The 21,389-nt window shown below is 39.5% G+C and overlaps 2 protein-coding genes and 1 pseudogene across 8 annotated transcripts in view, besides 1 other annotated feature; 1 reads left to right on the top strand and 2 right to left on the bottom strand.

Annotated features, from left to right (window-relative positions):
- Window positions 1-21,389, bottom strand: part of KLRG1 (killer cell lectin like receptor G1) — a 265,527-nt gene that overhangs the window by 82,333 nt on the left and 161,805 nt on the right. The window lies entirely within an intron of this gene.
- On the bottom strand, window positions 4,729-5,508 carry KRT17P8 (keratin 17 pseudogene 8; annotated as a pseudogene).
- Window positions 15,029-15,108: an enhancer, noted in NCBI's record as "active region_5939". NCBI's record gives its function as "activates an Ori minimal core promoter by ATAC-STARR-seq in GM12878 lymphoblastoid cells {active_cell/tissue: GM12878}" and the evidence as "EXISTENCE:reporter gene assay evidence [ECO:0000049][PMID:35858748]".
- A2M (alpha-2-macroglobulin) overlaps window positions 17,009-21,389 on the top strand; it is a 48,522-nt gene continuing 44,141 nt past the window's right edge. For 2 of the 5 annotated variants that reach the window (NM_000014.6, XM_006719056.4), the window contains exons 1-4: window positions 17,319-17,474; window positions 19,695-19,878; window positions 20,702-20,861; window positions 21,027-21,079. In NM_000014.6, coding sequence (NP_000005.3) covers window positions 17,389-17,474; window positions 19,695-19,878; window positions 20,702-20,861; window positions 21,027-21,079 — 483 coding nt within the window. In that variant the 5' untranslated portion in view covers window positions 17,319-17,388. Of the gene's footprint in view, window positions 17,111-17,318; window positions 17,475-19,694; window positions 19,879-20,548; window positions 20,862-21,026; window positions 21,080-21,389 lie in introns of those variants that run through there. The other 3 variants (NM_001347423.2, NM_001347424.2, NM_001347425.2) reach the window with 3 other exon arrangements.

Raw genomic sequence — 21,389 nt, 5'->3', positions numbered from 1 at the left:
TTTTTCTTTAACTTCTGAACTCTGTGCCCAGCTCCCTACTTGAATAGCTTCACTGGATATCTCAAAAGAACCTCAAATTCAATATGTCTACTTTCCCTATCTGTTATTAGCAACAAACCCAGCACTTGCCCTAGTAGGAAATCTACAATCATCCTTTACTTATCTCTAAAATGAAAAAAAAACCCACACCTTTTTCATAAAGTTTTGAGTTCACTAAGTGAAATAAGCAAGGTGCCTATCACAATGCCTGGCATACAGTATCTATAAATATTAGTTTAGCTATACCAGTTTTCATTCATTCAAAGAGGCACATCTTTTCACATCTCTGAAATCAAGATGTGTTTTGTGATCAGTAGTGTTTCATAATTGGATATACATCTAATCATTAATCAGGTGGAAATTTTTTCTTTAAATACTTTATTAGAAAATTGTGTCCTTTACCTCAATGGTGCTTCAGATGTGATAATTTGCAGTAACACAACTTCTCTCTCCAATGTGCCCATATATATTAAAGTAGTTATTAGGTCACATCACGTACATTTGAAATCCATATTTTTTCTCACTCTTCCCACTGTTGTAATCTTACTTTGGGCCCTCATTTTCTTCCAACTGAACACTGAATTAGCCCCCTGAATGGTCTTCCTGCTGACTATATTGCCCTTCTCCAATGTGTGTGTCATATTCATGCCAGAGTAATCATGTTTCTCTCATGCCTAACTCACTTCATTATCTACACAACTGCCTGCAGAATGGAAACCAGATTCTTTCACATGGCACACAGGGCTCTGACTCTCTCTCTCTTTAGCCTAATCCCTAAGCCACAGTCAAGTTGACCTCCTTTCTGTACTTGCAGATGACTTAACACTGTATGTTGTTTCACAACCCATGTCGTTTATCACACTGACCTATCTTGAAAATATTTTGTATCAGCTGGAATCCCTCTGGCAATAAATAACAGAAAAGCAACTAGCAGCTGCTTAAACAAATAGGAAAGTCCATAGGTTGGTGTTCCAAGGTTGATAGAATTGCCCAATAATGCTGATGAGGACCAAGGCCCATTTTATCTTTCAGACTTCCTTAACATGCAGACCTTCATCCCCCTGCTTGTTACTTTGCTGTCTCAAGATGGTCATTGAAATATTAAATATCACATCTATTTTCCATTAAGTAAGAACAAGGAAGGACATTCAGGGGTATGCCCACTACAACTCTTCTTTTTAAGAAAGCAAATGTTTCCCATAAGCCCTACCCAGCAGTTTTCTACTTATATCTCATTGCCCAAACAGCACCATAGTCACTCTGGTTTGAAGATGCCTAGAGAGAGGGATGTTGTGGGTAGTTTAGCCAATGAGCAGTGTCTGCCACAGTCTGCTTGGAAAATATCTTCTCATTTTTTGTGAGATTCAACTCAAGAGTTATATCTTAGAAATTTAGAAATGTGTATATATATGTATATAAACTATATATGTATATAAATTATATTGATATTTATATAAGCATACATAAAACACAAATATATAAACGTATATATAGTATGTACCCTTTCATCATTAACTGAATATTTATCAAACACCTGTACACAGTGCGTGCTAGGTACTGTTCTAGGCACTGGGAATACAGCAATGAACAACATCTTATCCTTTGTGGAATTTACATCCTAGTGTTTACCCTTTGATCTAACTTTTTCACCTCTAGTAACTTACCTTACAGACTATACCTCAAAAACAAGGATGCTCATTGAAGTGATAACTAGAATAACAAAAATCTGATTAAATATCACTATGGGATTGATTATAATATACATAAAATTATAAAATGTAATTATTCAAATTACCTCTTAATAGAGATATACTAACATGGAAAGCTGTCCCCAACATATATTTTAATTTAAATAATGGAAGACCAAAATGTATAGTAAACTCTCACTTTTAAAAAGAAAATCCATCCCCAAATTCATACGGAATCTCGAGGAATCTGAAATAGCCAAAACAACTTTGGAAGAAGAATAAAGGTATTAGACTCACACTTCCTGATTTCAAAGCATATACAAAGACACAATGATCAAAGCAGTGTGGCACTGGCATAAAGACAGACAAATAAACCATCGTAATAGAATAAAGAGCCGAGAAATAAGCCTGTGTGTATATGGTCAAATGATCTTCAACAAGGGTGCCAAGACCACTCATTGAGAAAATGATAGTCTCCTCAACAAACGGTGTTGGGAACAATGGAAATGAAAGTTAAACCTTTATTTTACACTATCTACAAAATTTAACTTATAATATATTAAAGACATAAGCATAAGACCTAAAACTATGAAATTTCTAGAAGAAAACAGACAGGATAATCTCATGACATGGGGTTTGTCAATGACTTCTTAGATATGACACCAAAAGCACAGGTAACAAAAGCAAAAAAAGATAAATGGGACTACATCAAACTTGAAAACATTTGTGCATCAAAGGACACAATCAAAAGAGTGAAGGGCAACATACAAAATGGGAAAAAAAAATTTACAAAGAATATATTTAGAAGTTATTATCCACAATATATAAAGAACTCCCACAACTAAACAATGAAAAAAAAATCAAATAACTAGATTTTAAAGTGTGCAAAATATTTGAATAGATATTTCTCTAAAGAATATATACAAATGGCTAATAAACATTGAAAAGGTGCTCAACATTACTAATCACCAGAGAAATGCAAATCAAAATCACAATGACATACTACTTCACATCTGTGAGGATGGCTGCTATAAAAAAAAAACAGAAAGTAACAAGTGTTGGCAAGGATGGGGACAAATTGAAACCCTTGTGCGCAGTTGGTGGGATTGTAAAATGGTTTAACTGCTATGGAAAACACCGTCAAGTTTCCTCAAAAAATTCAAATAGAACTACCATATGATCCAGGAATTTTACTTATGGGTGTATATCCAAAAGAATTGAAAACATGGTCTTGAAGAGATATTTATATACCACAGTCATAGCACTAGTCCCAATAACCAAGAAGTAAAAGCGAGCCAAATGTCCATCAATAGAAGAATGAATACATACAATCAAATATTATTCAGCCTTAAAAAGAAATGAAATTCTGATACATGCTGCAACATGGATGAACTTTGAAGAAATTTTGCTAAGTAAAATAAGCTAGTCACAAAATGACAAATACTGTATTATTTCACCTATATGAAGTATCCAAGCCAATTCATAAAAACAGAAAGAAGAACGCTGGTTACCAGGGACAGAGAAGAGGAGAAAGGGGAAGTGTTTAATAGGTTGTTTAGTAGTTATAGAGTTTCAGATTTGCAAGATATAAAAGCTCGGAAAATCTGTCTCACAACAATGTGTATATACTTTACACTACTAAACTGTACATTTAAAAATGGTTCACCAGGCGCGGTGGCTCACGCCTGTAATCCCAGCATTTTGGGAGGCCGACGCGGGTGGATCACAAGGTCAGGAGATCTAGACCATCCTGGCTAACACGGTGAAATCCCGTCTCTACTAAAAATACAAAAAAAGTAGCCGGGCGTGGTGGCGGGCGCCTGTAGTCCCAGCTACTCCTGAACCCGGGAGGCGGAGTTTGCAGTGAGCAGAACGCGCCACTGCACTCTAGCCTGGGCGACAGAGTGAAACTCCGTCTCGGGAAAAAAAAATGGGTAAAATGGGAAAAAGGAAAACCCATACCTGCATCTTCATATATATTATTATATACAATAATACTGAAAATACTTTCAGTTTATGAATTTGGTGGGTAGCTCACACATTACTTTATATTTTCTTCATACTTATATATTTTATAATAAGTATACATTACTTTTTATAGTCAGAGAAAGATTAGAAAAAATTTAAAAAATTACAAGGTACTTTCTTCTCTATCTCTCTCCTCAAATAGTAATGACCATTTATTTGTACTTATGTAGTCACCAACAGAATTTATATGTATTGAATGAAATAATAAATGTATCATCAACTAGTGATAATGAATGCCTTCAATAAAAATTTATTTATATTTAGCACCAAATTAAGAAATTAATTTAATATAGTTCTTCATTTAATGAATACCGATTGTTATTAAGTGCCTAGGATATGCCCGATGTGCCTGTGTAGGTTTTGAGTAATAAACATGGTTATTTCTTGAAACTATCTTTTGATGAAGAAAGAGAAAAAGAGAAAGAGAGAAAGAAAGAGGTTATGGCTAGCTGGTAACATTCAAAAGCAAGCCACTTCATGAAACCCCATTACAAGTCAAGATAGTATAGTCCAGGTGTGTAGTACTCTGGTGGTCTGGTTTTATCATAGTTAGAGCCTAAATACATAGCAAAGAGAACAGATTTCACATATTTCAAAAACATGTAACAGCGAGTATGAAATACCCGCAGACCCAGTCACCCCACTCCAGCTTCTGCCAGAGAAAACTGGTGTAAGAAAAACTGGTTTGGAAGTTAATTGCATTCTTCCCCCCACCCCCTTGGGCCATAAAATTTTATTAGCAGGTAAGGGGAAGAGCCAGGAGTAAGGGTCCCTCCCTTCCCATCCCCTACCCAGGATCCTCCCTCTGAAGGAGAGCAGAAGCCCAGGAGCCTGCCACTCAGCGGACCTTGCAGGTGGGCAGGTTGCTGTAAGGATCTTTCTGGCGCTCGAGCAGGATGCGGTCGGCAGTGATCTCCTGCTCAGGCCTCCTCTGGCAGTCAGCACACACATTGCCCAGCTGGACTTCGGCACCGCTGCTCAGAGCCTGGATCCGCACCAGCTGGGCCTCAACGCAGGCCTCCGTTCCTGCAGTACGGTCTTCCAATGCGGTTTTCATGCTGAGCTGCGACTGCAGCTCAATCTCAAGACCCCGGAGGGTACGCCACCGGTCCGCGACTCGGACTTGTGCATCTGGAGCTGCTCCGTGTGGCCAGCGACCTCCCAGCTCAGATCCTCAGTCTGGCTGGTGACCAGGCTTCAGCATCTTGGGCATCTGCTCAGTTATGACCGCATACTGGCTTCACGTGTTGCCCGGGATCTTGGCAAGACCAATGCCTGGAGCAGAATCCACCTCCACACTGACCTGGCCACCCGCAGCACTGATTTCCTCGTTGTGGTTCTTCTCCAGGTGATCCAGCTCCTCCTGCAGGCCTTGGATGTGCGTCTTCAGGTCAGCCCTGGCCGGGGTCAGCTCATCGGGCGCCCTGCGCAGGCCTTGATGTCTGCCTCCAAGCTCCTTCGCAGAGACTGCTCCATCTCAGACTTGGTTCGGAAGTGATCTGCAGCCAGGCGGCGGGTGTCAATCTGCAAGACAATCCGGGAGTTCTCAATGGTGACACCAAGAATCTTGTCCCGCAGGTCTTCAATGGTCTTGAAGTAGTGGCTGTAATTGCCGGGGCCCCGGGGCCCAGTCGCAGATCTTCACCTTCAGCTCACCCGGCCTCCTCCAGAGCCCGCACCTTGTCCAGGTAGGAACCAAGTGGTCGTGGATGTTCTGCGTGGTGATCTTGGTGCCCGTCAGCAGCCTGTCGGACCTGCAGAGGACGCTGGCATCGCCGCTGCCATAGCCCCAGAGGAGGATGAGGGCACAAAGTGGGTGGAGGACACAGACAGGCTACGGCTTCGGAGCCCCAGTGGATGCTGGGCTCTAGGAAGGCGCCCCCGACTCCAAAGTGCACGGAGCCGCTGCCCAGCCCCCAAAGGACTAAGTGGCCAATGACTGGCGAAAGCTGCAGGAAGTTAGGGTGAGGCAGAGAACGGTTCAAGGAGCTGCAATCGGCAGGAGGAATCGGAAATTTTAATTGCATTATTACCAATTATAAGAATTTTTGTGCTATGAGTGGGTTTTGTGCTATGAGGGGACCCAAAAAAGGGCTGATAAAACACCAAAACCACTGGTGAGGAGAACTTAAGAGGGAACCAGGCTTCAAGCTCCTAAACTCACCATGGACTGCCACAGAATTTAAAGCACAGTCCATATTCCTCAGAAAGCTAACCAAGCCCACCACTGGGTGTCCTACCAAAGGCCGTTCCCTGGCATTATTCTAGACAGAACAACCCAGACGGCAAAAATGTACTGCTGTGGAGAGATGAATCAATTCCTAGGAGGACTGGACAGACATTCTCAAAAGTTTGTTGGAAAGATAGCAGAGAAGAGAAGAATGAGGTGCTTTAATAAAGGGATAGGAAGAAGGTGAGAACAAGGAACTGAGATTAGGAGCTGAGTGTGTCCATGACAGACCGCCTAGAAAGAATGTAGTGTCTAGAGCTTTTACTCATAGACCGCGGGACAAGGTATATTTACCATATAGCTCTGTATTTTCCCTCTTGTGTTATAATGTTTTCTGTAATTAATTACTCTAACCCTTTTAGCAAAGTCTAATACACTTCAGCATTGTCTCGTGATGATATACAGACTAAATGGACAGGTGAGTAAAAGAAAAAATTAAGGCGTCCTCACTGGTGGGAGCAGAATCCCAGGCAGAGAACTATGCACAGAAGTTTCAGGCAGTGATCAGCTGAAAGTCAGATTGCAGTCCATTGTATTCCATGGTGGAGACAAGAACAGGGAGGGAGCACCCATACTTAAAAGAAACTTCTAGGCTTGGAGCAGTATGGTATTTTATACACATCACCTCTGTTAGTCAAGCTTTGGATGGGGGCTAGATAGCAGCCCACTGAAAGACCTGGAGTCCCTGTATTCTTAATTGCTATGTCGGAAAGTTCCATATTTAGAAATCAGATGGGCAGCAGGTAAGTTAGGCATTCTTCTGAAAAAAATTAAGCCTCTACCAGGACTCTCGCTTGGTTTATAAAATGAGCCACAGAAGAAACAGCAAACTCAAGTTTTCCTCTCAAAAAGTCCTGTGTCACTTGAAAAGTTGCTTCATACACATTGTGTCCTAAATATGAAATCTAAAGTTGTTACTGTTTTGAAATAAAGTTTCAAGAGAATATATTTTATATAACATTCAAATGAGTTATAGTAAAAATGCTAGGTCTTAAGAGATTCACCGGATGAAATAACATTCTCCACTTCAGAAAATGAAACTAGTACAATATTAAATACTGTGATTAATAATAATCTCTAATATTTCTACATACTTTTGCTCCTAACAGTTGAGTTATATGCTCACCCTGTATGATTGTGGTATATTCTGTTATGCCAGTTGCATTATTGTAATTATAAATTTGAGGAATAAAGTACACGAACTTATAAAATATAAACATGGCCAGGCACAGTGGCTCACGCCTGTAATCCCAGCACTTTGGGAGGCCGAGGTGGGTGGATCACAAGCTCAGGAGTTTGAGACCAGCCTGCCCAATATGGTGAAACCCCGTCTCTACTAAAAATACAAAAATTAGCCAGGCATGGTGGTGAGCACCTGTTGTCCCAGCTACTTGGGAGGCTGAGGCAGGAGAATCATTTGAACCCGGGAGGTGGAGGTTGCAGTGAGCCAAGATTGTGCCACTGCACTCCAGCCTGGGCGTTAGAGCAAGATTCCATCTCAAAAAACAAACAAACAAACAAACAAAAAATATACATACACGCACTATTTTAAAACTCAGTTTTTATCTAAAACCTAGATTAAAAGTCTTTGGAAAGAGTCCATGGAGAGGAATACGTTAAAAATGCCATTGAAGCCATTCTGCAATGTATAATATTTCAGAATGACATGTTGCACACAATGTCTACATAATTTTTCGTCAATTGAAAATAATGTGATCAATTGGATTAAAAATATATCATTAACTCATGAATTTAAATATATTTAATGAGCTTAAGTTGATTGTATTTTCTGTATTTCTTAAACTCAAGGTATTACCTAGTGCTTTGAGGTGTCGATTTTCTGGCCAGAAACTTCTGCGGCTGGCGACAAGCTCTTGTCCTGCATCCAGGAAGAATGACAGGAAGAATGAGGTACACGAACAAGTGAAGGGTGCACAATAAGAATGAGGTACCCAGACAAGTGAAGGACAAGATGAAGATGAGCTTTACTAAATTTTAGAACAGCTCAGAGGAGACCCACAGTGGGTAGCTCCTCTCCGTAGGCAGGTCTTCCCAACATCTACTGCTCTCAGCAGAGAGGAGGCCCTGGAGCGGGTGCTCCTTGCTCCTCTCTGCACTGTAGTCCCGAAGTCTCTGCAGGTCTCTGAAGCTCTCAGCAGAGAGGGTAGTTCCTCTGTGCAGCTGGTTGTCCCATCGTCTCCTGCTATTAGCAGAGAGGGCAGCTTCTCTCTGCAACTGGTCTTCCTGTCCCTCCATCCTCTCTCTTGCTCTGCCTGAGCCCGAGGCTTTTATGGGGTGGAGGAAATGCCTGCTGATTGATCCATGGGCAGCCATAGGCAGGCCAAAGGAGGCACCACAAGTCCTAGGGACTGACTGCCGGGATCCCAACCTTCAGGTCCTCCCTGGCCTGAAGGTGGGGCCTTACAGGGGACCTGCCCCCTTCTGCCCAGGAGTCTGCCTGCCTCCCGCTGCCATTCATGGCCCCTGGGCTCAGCCCCAAGATTGGAGCAGGCTCTGGGAGAGGAGAAAGGCCAGGCAATGGGAGCAGACACCCCTGAGCCTGCAGGGTCGAGAGAAGGGGAGGGTCTTCCCGGCTCTCGAGGGTGCAGGCTGCAGAGATGCCTGGACCTGCACCTGTGAGGGTGCCGCAGCTGCACCAGGGAATCTCCCGCGCAGCCAACTGGGAATGGGCAGGTCTCCCGCTTGTCCCGGGCTCTCTCTGGCTCAGTGGAGCAGTAGGCCCAGGTCTGCAGCCACTGGTCGGGGTGCTGCAGCCGCACGGGGAGTGTAGATCTTGCCTGCTCCCAGCCCCTTCCAAGAGCACAGGGAGGCTCAGATCCACAGCCGCAGTTTGGGCGGGGCTCCTACCTGCTCCATAGAGCAGGAGGCCGCGGTCTGCAGCCTCGGTTTGGGCAGCTGCAGCGGCACCGGGGAGCTCTGGCCCCAACTCAGAAGGGACGGAGCTCCCACCGGCTCCACTGCAGCCAACATTATGGCAGCAGCGGCTACCATCAATGGTATCCCATCTTTGGCAAGTGGAAACATCTTAATGAATTTCCCGTTTGCCCCGAGAATCCTCTTGTCTCTGATCCTAAGGTAACATCACATACATGTCTGTTACACTAGGATTAGAGACAAGTTCTGTTTAGAAATAACTCCAAGAACAGCTTTTATATTTTATTTTCACATTGAAAATCAGTCAGATTTGCTCCAGCCTCAAAGAATGTGTTTACTAAAATTAAATGAATGCTGGCAGGGAGCTGCACTTTTTTTTTCTAAATAGGAAATGGGTTAAGGGCGGCAGCTGAGTCCTTTCGACATAACCCTAATAGTCTTTGGCAGCATCCTTTCTGTTTGGTAGGATAAGATATTCTAGGCTCATCTTGCATTTTCCGCGAAAAAAAAAAAGCCATTGAATTAGGCATAGAGGAAATTACTATAAAGTTTAAGGGATAATGTAAAGGATCTAGGAAAATACTCTAATTGCTTCACAAACAAGGAAGAAACTGAAACTAGAAATGTAGTCAATTAGTATTGCTGATGTGCTTTATGCAAGAAAGATAGTATATTTGTTCTCTCTTATCTGCAGCTTCACTTTCTGTGGTTTCAGTTACCCTTGGTCATCCAGGGTCCAAAAATATTAAATGGAAAATTCCAGAAATAAACGATTCATAAATTTTCAATTGTGTGCCATTCTGAGTGGTGTGATAAAATCTTGACACCCGGGATATGAATCATTCCTTTCTCCAGCGTATCCATGCTGTATATGCTGCTGTTATTCCCCCTAACCCCCACCCCAGTCACTTAGTAGCTATCTCAATACTGCAGGGCTTATGTTCAAATAATCCTTATTTTACTTAATAATGGTCCCAAAGCTCAAGAGTAGTGATGTTGGCATATTGTTATAATTGTTCTTCTATTATCAGTTTTGTTAATCTCTTACTAAGCCTAATTTATAAATTAAACTTCATCCTAAGTATGTATGTATAGGAAAAAACATAGTATATATAGGGTTAGGTACTATCTGTGGTTTCAGGTGTCCACTGGGGATCTTGGAACATATGCCCCTCGGATAAGGGGAACTACTATATACAAGATTAAATAAGGTCACTTAAAATTCATTTATAAAATTATGTCCTAAAATATTTGTACCAGTAACAAGATATATTCAAATTATTTTATCTAATAAAAATTAACATGTTTTATTTTCTAATAAAAGTTAAAATATGTTAGCAGTCTATACCACTTCTTTAATTACATGGAAAAAATTACATTATGATGTCTAATTAATAAATAGTTATTTATAATTACTGCCAAAGTCAAAAACCAGTTTGATACTTACATCTTAAATACCATGCCTTTTTATACCCTTTTCTTTATAAATAACTTGTAATTTAACCTTCAAATTATACTGCATTACTTTAAATTAAATAATGAGAGTACGTATGTATAACTTGCTTTGAAAATAAATGAATTATGAAAGCTACACTATTTAAAACTTGAGAACTTTCAATAATACCTTATACAATATATTCCATAATTACTTTTTAATAAATTTTTATAATATTACTGTAAATTGTGGGTTTAGGGACCGACAGTTCAACTATTAGCAAAATAATCTTTTAGCATAACAAAAATTGGAACATCTAAATCTCTTAGAACTTGTCTTAGCCCATTTATATAGTAAGTACTACGTAATTGCTAGCTGTCATTACCTGTTACTGTTGTAGCTATTGTTGTTAGCCTCATTATCATCAGCATCATCTGAGTAATTAAGTAAAGTTGGCAAACAACTTTATCTTTCCTACTTTTAAAATTTAACCCCAGTGTTTGCTCCCAAACTAAGTAGAACTCTCTAAAATGAAAGTTCTGACACTGGAAAGTTCCACAGCGAACATGAGCACTACAGTGAACAAAGGGGCTCCTATGGTTAAGGGTCATGAACCAACCTTGTGCAAACCCACACACAAACACGCATACACTTATTTTCTGTTCATCAAAGGAAAAGTAATCCTGTAACATTTCCCCCACCTTGCTTCCTATTCCAAAATAAACTGCAGATGAAGATTAAAATCTAAACACAAATACTTAATGTAGGAAAAAATGCAGGATAATATTTTTACAATTTCAGTATGCATATGCAGAAGGATTTCTTAATCAGAAAATAAAGATACAGTATAAACAAAAAGAAAGTTAAACAAAGATAAATTATAAGCAACAGGGTTCCTACAAGTGACAATGATGCTGAACATCACCAGTAATCATGAACTTGAAAAAGAAAAGACAAAATAGATCATGCTCCCCTCCCCATCAGATTGGTAAAATTTTAAATGAGTGCTGGGAAAATATATACACATAAGCATTGCTAGTGAGAAGGTAAGTTGGCATTTTAGAAAGTTGATGAGATAGTATCTATAAATTTGAAATGTATATACATAGCAAATTCACAATGGGGACAGATTCATTATACAAAAATACTTCGGCATGCCCCAAAGTATAAATATGTTAGGACAGCCATTGAATTCTATTGTTTGTAGTAAATTGTTTTAGTCCAAACACTAATTCCTCTGTAGCAAACATAGGATCTAATAAAATGGATTATGTGTGGAAATCAGTCCTCTTTAGAAACCTAAAGGACCAAGTGTATCCTGATTAAAAAGATAAAACGCTTTCTTTCTTTCTTTTTGTTTTTGTTTTTTTGTTTGTTTGTTTCGAGACAGAGGCTCGCTCTGTTGCCAGGCTGGAGTGCAGTGGCGTGATCTCGGCTCACTGCAACCTCTGCCTCCCGGGTTTAAGCGATTCTCGTGCATCAGTCTCCCGTGCAGCTGGGACTACAGGCGCACGCCACCACACCCAGCTAATTTTTGTAGTTTAAGTAGAGACGGGGTTTCACCATGTTGGCCAGGATGGTCTCAATCTCTTGACCTCATGATCCACCTGCCTCAGTCTCCCAAAGTGCTTTTTGATAATTTTGAGAAATGATGGAGGCATATTAGAATGAAAACAACCTGAGGATGTGCTTTTATCTTTGTATATTCAAATATTTTTTCTCATTAAAAAGCAGAAAGTCCGGGTATGATGGTTCATGCCTGTAACCCTAACACTTTGCGGGGCCGAGATAGGAAGATCCCGTGAGGCCAGGACTTTGAGGCTAGCCTGAGCAACATGGTAGGACCCTGTCTCCATAAAAAGCTTAAGAAAAAAATTAGCGGGGCGTGGTGGAGTGCACCTGTAGTCTTAGCTATTTGGGAGGCTGAGATGGGAGGATCAGTTGAGCCTAGGAGTTCAAGGCTGCACTGAGCTATGATCTAACCACTGTACTCCAGCCTGGGCAACAGAGCAAGACCCTGTCTCTGAAAAAAAAAAATACACACACACACACACACACACACACACACACGTTAGTGGGATAGCACAAATGAGAAAAACTCTGCTCTTTGATCACTGAGTACATCTCTGTAGATATATATTTCCTTCACTGCAGATTTTGCCCAAGATACTTCGTCAAAGACAAAGCCAGTACACCCTCTAATAGGGTGAATATGGTTATGCCACCTACTGAGCTTGTTTTTGATACTAGTTAATATGTAACCAGATGAAATTGTCATTATCGTCACTGTCAGGACTATGGGAAGCTTAAGTGTTCTCTTTTCAAGGACAATGTGCGCTAACTGTACAATTGGTACAATTAAATAAGTTATATTCAGTTCCTGGGAAGCACTATAGCAATACAAGGAGAAAATTTGATTCTATTTATTTTTGTTAAGGCCCACCTACCTCCTAATCCTAATTTCTCTCATTTCCCAAATATTCCTTGTTTGTTCTTACTGTTATGTGTTTTCCTGTATTTTGCTCTTCTACTTTCTTTTCCATGGACTATCTTTTTCCCTTCCTTTTTTTCGCTCTACCCCTTTACCTCAGCTTTCTAGCAGTATTTGCTAAATACTTCAAAACTGTATAGAACTGGTTCAAATTGTGTGCTCCCTTTTCTGTCAAGAACTTGCTACTCAGGTAACCCAATTGGTGATTTTTCCTGGAAACACTGATGGATGCTGTTCCTATAGCGAAACCCAGAACAGAGATGAAATAGATGTCATCCTCAGCCATTAGCATTCAAACTATAAAAATTAATTTACACTGGTATAGTAAGGATCAGAATGTCAAAGCTGTGTTACACCTAGCATCTTGTATGAAACTACCCCATTAAGGTGAGACCACAGATATTATTGCCCCACTATTGGCATGAAAGCTGAGGCTCAGAGCAGTTAACTGAGTTACCCAGGACCACACAGCTAAGTTAGAAGTAGGGCTCAGGTGTCCTGGCAACTAACTGGTCCAGTTATTTTTTCTCTCAAGCTCGTTTTCCCTCTCCTAAAGAATAGGAGGCTCTGTCGTGGTGAAAGGCGATTTTAGTAATACTTTCCTTTTTATCTGTGATTATAATGAATGCGGCATCTCTCCCATTAAGGATCATTCCTCCACCCACATTCTTAATACATCTGCTGCATGCATCCTTCAGAGACCTCCCTCTGGGATCATCCCTTCTCACTCCAAAAAGCTCAACTTCTCCCCTGTCATTTGTACCTCCCACTCAGCATTTTTAGAAGCAATATTTCATTCAAACTTATTCAAGTTTATTTCCACCTAAAGAAATATTCCTTTCACCCTGGCATCTCCGTCAGGTACTGCTCTGTTGTTTTTCTCCCCTTCAGACAAACTGCCAAACTGGCTCTAGTTCCTCACATTCCCCATCACCCTCAGCAAGCTTCTGCCCCACACCGGCACTGAAACAGCTGAATCCCAATGTCCTTGTCCTTAAACCCAGCAGAAAAAAAAAATCAATCAATTATTTGATTTCACAGCGGCACTTGACATGGGTAGCCAGGAATTTATCAATGACAACCTTTACAGATCATCTTTGTAATTTATCATGAGGCATCAAATGAATGCTATTAACATTAATCCCTCCTATTTTAAGTCATTAATCCAAGTAAATGCTCACTTATTTCTAGCGTCTTAGAAACCATTTAAATTATGTTACATTATGAATCAATACATTATAAAATTATACCATCATTTGTAATAATTTTTTAAAATGTTGTGTGCTATTAACATTGATGCCTTGGTATAAAGTCATGATCATTCTGGTCTAGTAGCAATCTTCTATTGACTATTCTCTTACTAAAGCGGTCCCTTCCGTGGGACTCAGAGACCTCACACTCTCCTGCCTGTGTTTCTTCCTCTCTAATTGGCCCTTCTTGCTCCACTTGGGTGCTCCTGCCCATTGCCTAGACAAGAGCATTCCCTGTAACTCTGTCTTGGGCTCTTTTTCTCTTTTCATCAACATCTTCTACGTGGGTATTATCATCCATTTCCATGGCATCAGCTTGCCCAATAAACTGATAAATCCATAGTCTCTATAAGTACAGCAGATCTCATCAAGCTAGTGGCATTCAGACTGCTTTAACTTTAACCAAAAATAAGGGATTTTGTACATGTTCAATAAGCAGTTCCCACTGTGACACTGTAATCACATTTTCACAATTGTGACCTAGGACACTTAGAGTAAAGGATACAGATGATTGAGACAGAAATAGTGACAAAGAAAAATAAGGTTAGGATATAGATTTTAATGCTGTAACAGACCTCAAAATACAATGGCTTAACTAAGAGAATGCATTTCTCTGTCACATAAAGGTCCCAACTGGCGTAGACTTTTGATGACTCAAGGGCTCAGGCTGTGCCTGGTTTGTGGTTCTGCCTTCCTTAACACATGGCTTCCATCTGATGAGCTACAGCAGTACCTATCACTAGTCAGCATGTCCACATTCCAGCCTGGGCAAGGAAGAAAGGGGAAGCGCAGAACTGTACCCTTCCTTTTTTAAGTCATGAACTGAAAGTTGCATGTATCACTTCCACTTGCCCTCCAGTCACCAGAACTTAGTCATATGCCATACCCAGCTTCAAGGGAGTGGGTTAAAAACATAGAAGTCAACTAGGCAGTCTGCACCCAGCAAAGGATCGGGAGTTCTATTATTAAAGCAGAATTGGAGAAGTGGTAACAGGAAACAACCACCAGCCTCTGCTGCATGTATATGAAACAGATGTTTCCCAAATCACTATTCTCACTTATTCTGTCTGATACACTGTATTTTTTATTATATTCTCTTTCATTTTTTAAAATCCTGGTCATGACTCACAGGGCATGATGTTACAACCCACTTAGATGCTAACACCATAATCTGAAAAATATTACCTATATTATGTCTAATATTGGCCACTTGAAGTATGGCTAGCCTAAATTGATCTATGTTGTAAGTATAAAATTCACACCAGCTTGTGAAAACAAATTATGAAAAAAAAGTCTTTAAGATATCATTAACAATTTTATATTGGCTAAATGTTGAAATGATCATATTTTGGATATATTGGATTAAATAAAATACACTATTAAAATTAATTTAATGTTTCTCTTTATGTGGTTACTAGAAAATTTAAAATTTAAAATTACACAGGGCGATCACATTCTATTTCTAGTAGACCACACTGCTGTAAGCTCAAGATTCAAATGTCAAACTCCTGTGAATATTAATACGTGAATATCCCACAAGCACTTACTCCATCTTCCCAACCCTCAGCCCTTCTGTCCTCCTTCTGCTCCCACCAATCTGTGTTTCTTCTGTTTCACTCACCCAGCTAAAGGCAACACAATTCACTCCGTGACGAGCCAGGAAAATGGAAAGACACATTTTCCTTTATTCCTCACATTGATATATTCACTGAGCACTATAATTACCTCTTAAATATGATATAAATCTGCAAGCTCTTTTCAATACCACCACAAATTCCATAGTTCAAAATGCCATCAGCTTTCACCTATATTATTACACCAGCTCCCATCTGGTCTTCCTGCATCCTGGATCACCTCTTTCTAGCTGCCCTTTCAAATTTCAATAAGAGCAAGCTTTCCAGGAAACAAACCTGAAGTCAATCCACTGAGTACTCCTCTGAATACCTTAATATTGTTGACAAATTCCTTTCTGATTTGAAGTATCAGAAAGGAATATTTCCTCCATACCAAATAGTTTTCATTTCATGCATGTGCCGTGATTCTTCTCCCTCCTTTGCATCTGTCATTCGTTATGCTTAGAAAGCTCTTTTCATCTCTTTGTTCTTCGAGACAACCACTACTCATACTTCAGAGCTTAATTTACATTTTGCTTTCCCTCAAAATTTTTTTAAAAGGTTCCAGGTCTGGGTTATGTGCTCTCTTATGTGCTCCCAGAGCATCCTGAACTTCTGCAATAATATGTTTGGCTACTGTATTTTATACAGTAGTTTTATATTGTATTTTATACTGTATTTTATACAGTAGGTGTTATATTGTATTTTATACAGTAGTTGTTTTTCTGTCTGTTTTTGCCCCAACAAGAATGTAAAATCTTTAAGTGCCTGTTTTCATACTTATTTGACCACCCTATCTCTAGAATCTTGCATGATGTCTAGCCCTAGTAGGATCAAAAAATACTTACAAAGCAACTGAATAGCTACATGAATAGATGGATGAATAAATGCATGGGTGGATGGATGGATTAATGAAATCATTTATATGACTTAAAGTTTGCAGAGGAGTATCATATTTGGAAGGCAGTAAGGAAGTCTGTGTAGTCGATGGTAAAGGCAATTGGGAAGTTTGTTAGGCACAATAGGTCAAAATTTGTTTTTGAAGTCCTGTTACTTCACGTTTCTTTGTTTCACTTTCTTAAAACAGGAAACTCTTTTCTATGATCATTCTTCCAGGGCCTGGCTCTTCATCTGCAACCCAGTAATATCCCTAATGTCAAAAAGCTACTGGTTTAATTCGTGCCATTTTCAAAGAGGACTACTGAATTCTGATGTGGCTTCAAACATTTAGGTTAGGCATATCTAATGGAGAACTTGCAGCCACACTGACTTGTAGTGAAATATCTATTTTGAGCCTGCCCAGTGTTGCTTAAATTGTAGTTTTCCTTGCCAGCTATTCATACAAGAGATGTGAGAAGCACCATAAAAGGCGTTGTGAGGAGTTGTGGGGGAGTGAGGGAGAGAAGAGGTTGAAAAGCTTATTAGCTGCTGTACGGTAAAAGTGAGCTCTTACGGGAATGGGAATGTAGTTTTAGCCCTCCAGGGATTCTATTTAGCCCGCCAGGAATTAACCTTGACTATAAATAGGCCATCAATGACCTTTCCAGAGAATGTTCAGAGACCTCAACTTTGTTTAGAGATCTTGTGTGGGTGGAACTTCCTGTTTGCACACAGAGCAGCATAAAGCCCAGTTGCTTTGGGAAGTGTTTGGGACCAGATGGATTGTAGGGAGTAGGGTACAATACAGTCTGTTCTCCTCCAGCTCCTTCTTTCTGCAACATGGGGAAGAACAAACTCCTTCATCCAAGTCTGGTTCTTCTCCTCTTGGTCCTCCTGCCCACAGACGCCTCAGTCTCTGGAAAACCGTGAGTTCCACACAGAGAGCGTGAAGCATGAACCTAGAGTCCTTCATTTATTGCAGATTTTTCTTTATATCATTCCTTTTTCTTTCCTATGATACTGTCATCTTCTTATCTCTAAGATTCCTTCCAGATTTTACAAATCTAGTTTACTCATTACTTGCTTACTTTTAATCATTCTTCCCCAACTCTCTGAAGCTCTAATATGCAAAGCCTTCCTAAGGGGTGTCAGAAATTTTTAGCTTTTTAAAAGAATAAATTTTAGATATTCACATTCATATTGATCTACTTGAGACCATGCTATTTATCTTTTCTTATTTCCTCTTTCTCAAGGGTCCATTTTCTATTTTATAAAAATAAAGACAATTCTCTCCCACAACCAAACATGGAACAATGCCCTGGAGTATAAAAATCTATAGAGTGCCAAATAAAGGAACAATTTGAAATACTGGTGTTGATATTGAAAAAGCAAGGGACTCTAATGTCAGAAGAGAAATCCTTTTGCAGATGAGGTGGTGATGAATTCTTTGTTTCAACACAACTGAAGGAGGAACTGAAGGAAATACCAGCTGATGAGTGATGAGAAGGGATTCTTGATAATAGAGTACTAGGTGATTTTTGGCATGTAATGCAGAAGTTGCAAGAAGTGGTAACAATGATGCAATTGTTTTACCTGCCATTTATTTACTTTTATGTGAGCCATTCTTCTTAGCACTTATAGCTACACAAAACAAAAATAGTAACAGAATTAATGTTGTTTAATTCTTGCAATCCATGGATGCATAAATTCACTGGGGGAAAAAACAGCTCATCATTCTCATTAAAGATGTGCTTCAAAAGTATTTTAATTTTATATCTAATATGTATGAATCATACTTTGTATTTATTTTGTTTTGATCAGTTATATACAAGTATTTTTGAACATAGCTCAGTCAGAAGGAAATGTTTAATATTTATAAATTTATGGTTACATTCTATTTAAAAGAGGAGTTAAAGTTAAATTTACCTACCCACATATGTTACATATATATGTATTTATGTATATGTATTCATATATGTATATATGTGAACATAAGTATACATACGTATATGTATAGATGCTTGACAATAAAGAAGTAAGAATAATTCACAACATTTTTTGAAATATAAAAATTTAGGATAAATTTCTGTATGGTAATTGGCATGGAAATTCAAATTCAAAAAGGAAAAAAGAAGAGAAAGATATTAAATATCAGACCATTAAAAGAATTTTTTAATGTACTTTTAAATAGTGATAGTAGGTATCTTATACTACAGTGTTTATTATTCATGAGAAAATTGTAAAAGTAATCTAAGTATTAATTTAAAATATCATCAAAAATAATATCTTTTGCTATTACTTAAAATCATGATAAAAATATGTTTACTTGAAAATATGTAAGGAGTGCACAGAGTCCAAAAATTATTTTAGGAGTTCTGTGAGCAAAAATGTATAAAAACTACAGGGTTGATCTTAAATTACATGTCAGGGTACTGAGAAAGTTTCTGTACTGCACATGAGTTACCAAGGTCTAAAGTCAATCACCAGAGGACCATTTTTGGATGGAGCCATTGTCTAATCATGAGCTGAAAGGCAAATATTTAAAATGCAAACATCCATGGTTAGGTAACACTCTTAAGACCTTATTAGCTGCTTACCACAACTGAGACTGTGAAGTAATGGCTCACTTTCTTTGAGGCTCAGATTCCATATCTGTGGAGTGGAAGCGAGTGCTTACCATACAATTTTCACAGGGCTGCTGAATGTGTGTATGTATGTATGTGTGTATATATATTTTAATGAAAATTCTATAATTTGATTAGTTTTTGTAATGTCCGCATGACTGAGAGCTTGCTTACTTTTTACAGCAACTTGAAGGTAAAAATAGATTTTACAACATGAACAAATGTAACTACATATTTTTATTTGAATTCAGATGTTCACAAATTGTTCCTTAAAGTGAAGCATGCCTACAAGTTTTAATCTGTTTAAGACCTACCTCAAGTAAAATGTTCACTGCCATGGCATGTGAGGGAAAAGGGAAATAATTCTTATGCATGGCCTTCAACGGCCAAATTTCATGCTCATCAGTACATCTTCTCTTGGTGTAGAACTGATGATGATAATTATGATGATGGAAAAAAGTGCTGTTGATAGCAATGCCTCTCTTCCTTCACTTTCCTCTAACTGAACCGTCTCATTCCCAGGCAGTATATGGTTCTGGTCCCCTCCCTGCTCCACACTGAGACCACTGAGAAGGGCTGTGTCCTTCTGAGCTACCTGAATGAGACAGTGACTGTAAGTGCTTCCTTGGAGTCTGTCAGGGGAAACAGGAGCCTCTTCACTGACCTGGAGGCGGAGAATGACGTACTCCACTGTGTCGCCTTCGCTGTGAGTGTGGCTGTTTGACTTAATATACTTGGTTCTTTTAGTCAGGGTCATAGGGATCTAGTATTCTGTCAGATGAGGCTTTGGGAGGTTGGTAAGAACTGCAGGAAGGAATCCAAATGTAGCAAACTAAGTATAGAAATTAAGGAGCAATGCATGACTCTCCAGCCATGGGAGACAAATATTTACAGGCAAACTAAAAGTCAGCTTAATAATCACATAGAAACCCTATTAGCCAGAAAGGAAAAAAAAAAAAAGAAAATGTGACTTCTTAAAATTAAGATGGAAAAAATATTAATAAAGCAAACTAGACCAAGGCTCAACATGAGCCACCCGTGGTGGACTGACAGGAACACATCACTCCACACTACTTCTAAGAGTAAAAATTGTAGAAATTACCCTGAGCAAAGGTGTAATATCTCTTCAGAGTTGTCCACATGTGAGATGCTTACAGCCTAGTGTCAGTAAAATACGGGGTTTTTTTCCATAGCCTGTAAAACATGCTTCGACCATGCCCTTTTAGCATGTAATATCAGCCTGGTAAAGCTCAGCGTATAATTGAATCAAGACTGTTTCTGTGAGCTGTATGAAGGTGTGAATCTCACTTACAACCTCTCTTACTGATTTATTTTCCTCCACCTTGTGTCCTGTCTCCCCATTTGTAAAATGGCAGAAGTGATTCCTGTCCATGCCAACTTTCCCTGCTGAGAACAAGGGAGTGAAGTTAAGTAAGAAGGGCAAGATCTCCAGGGAAGAGTGCAACAGCAAATAGGGGAGGAGACCTGCGGGTGCTGAATGGGGTTTCAGGATCGGTCCTGTATTTCAGGTCCCAAAGTCTTCATCCAATGAGGAGGTAATGTTCCTCACTGTCCAAGTGAAAGGACCAACCCAAGAATTTAAGAAGCGGACCACAGTGATGGTTAAGAACGAGGACAGTCTGGTCTTTGTCCAGACAGACAAATCAATCTACAAACCAGGGCAGACAGGTATGAAGAAGCCTACAGACAGGACAACTTCAAAAAGGAAAGATCTTCTTCCCCTGGATGTTCCCCAGGCAAAGTTCCTATAATCTTGGTTCCTTAATAGCTTGTCTTACCAGCCTACAGGCCTACTTTGGGTTTGGGGGCTCATGAAAAATATTTCTGTTTCAGTGAAATTTCGTGTTGTCTCCATGGATGAAAACTTTCACCCCCTGAATGAGTTGGTGAGTTTTCTATTATCTACATAAAATGATTGTCTGTATAAACAGGCTGGGAACCTGTTTTTTGTGCTGAGGGAAGACCAGGGAGAGGAAGAATCTGGTATCATTAACAGTAACTTCTGGCATTACAACAGCACAAGATCCTAATCTAAAACATCATTCCAGGTAAAGAAAGTAGGTAATTCTTTCTGTCTTGGTGCTGGTACTCAGTCAGTTGTCACACAATTAAATTTACTTTTCGGATGGTTCTTAATTAGGACAATTAGAAAGATACATTCAATAGCAGACACAGAAAAATCCTCAAAGAACCTAA

This window comes from Homo sapiens, chromosome 12 (assembly GCF_000001405.40).
Source record: "Homo sapiens chromosome 12, GRCh38.p14 Primary Assembly".
NCBI lineage: Eukaryota > Metazoa > Chordata > Mammalia > Primates > Hominidae > Homo > Homo sapiens.
Note: the sequence above shows the minus strand (reverse complement) of the source record. Positions and strands in the feature narration are given on the sequence as shown.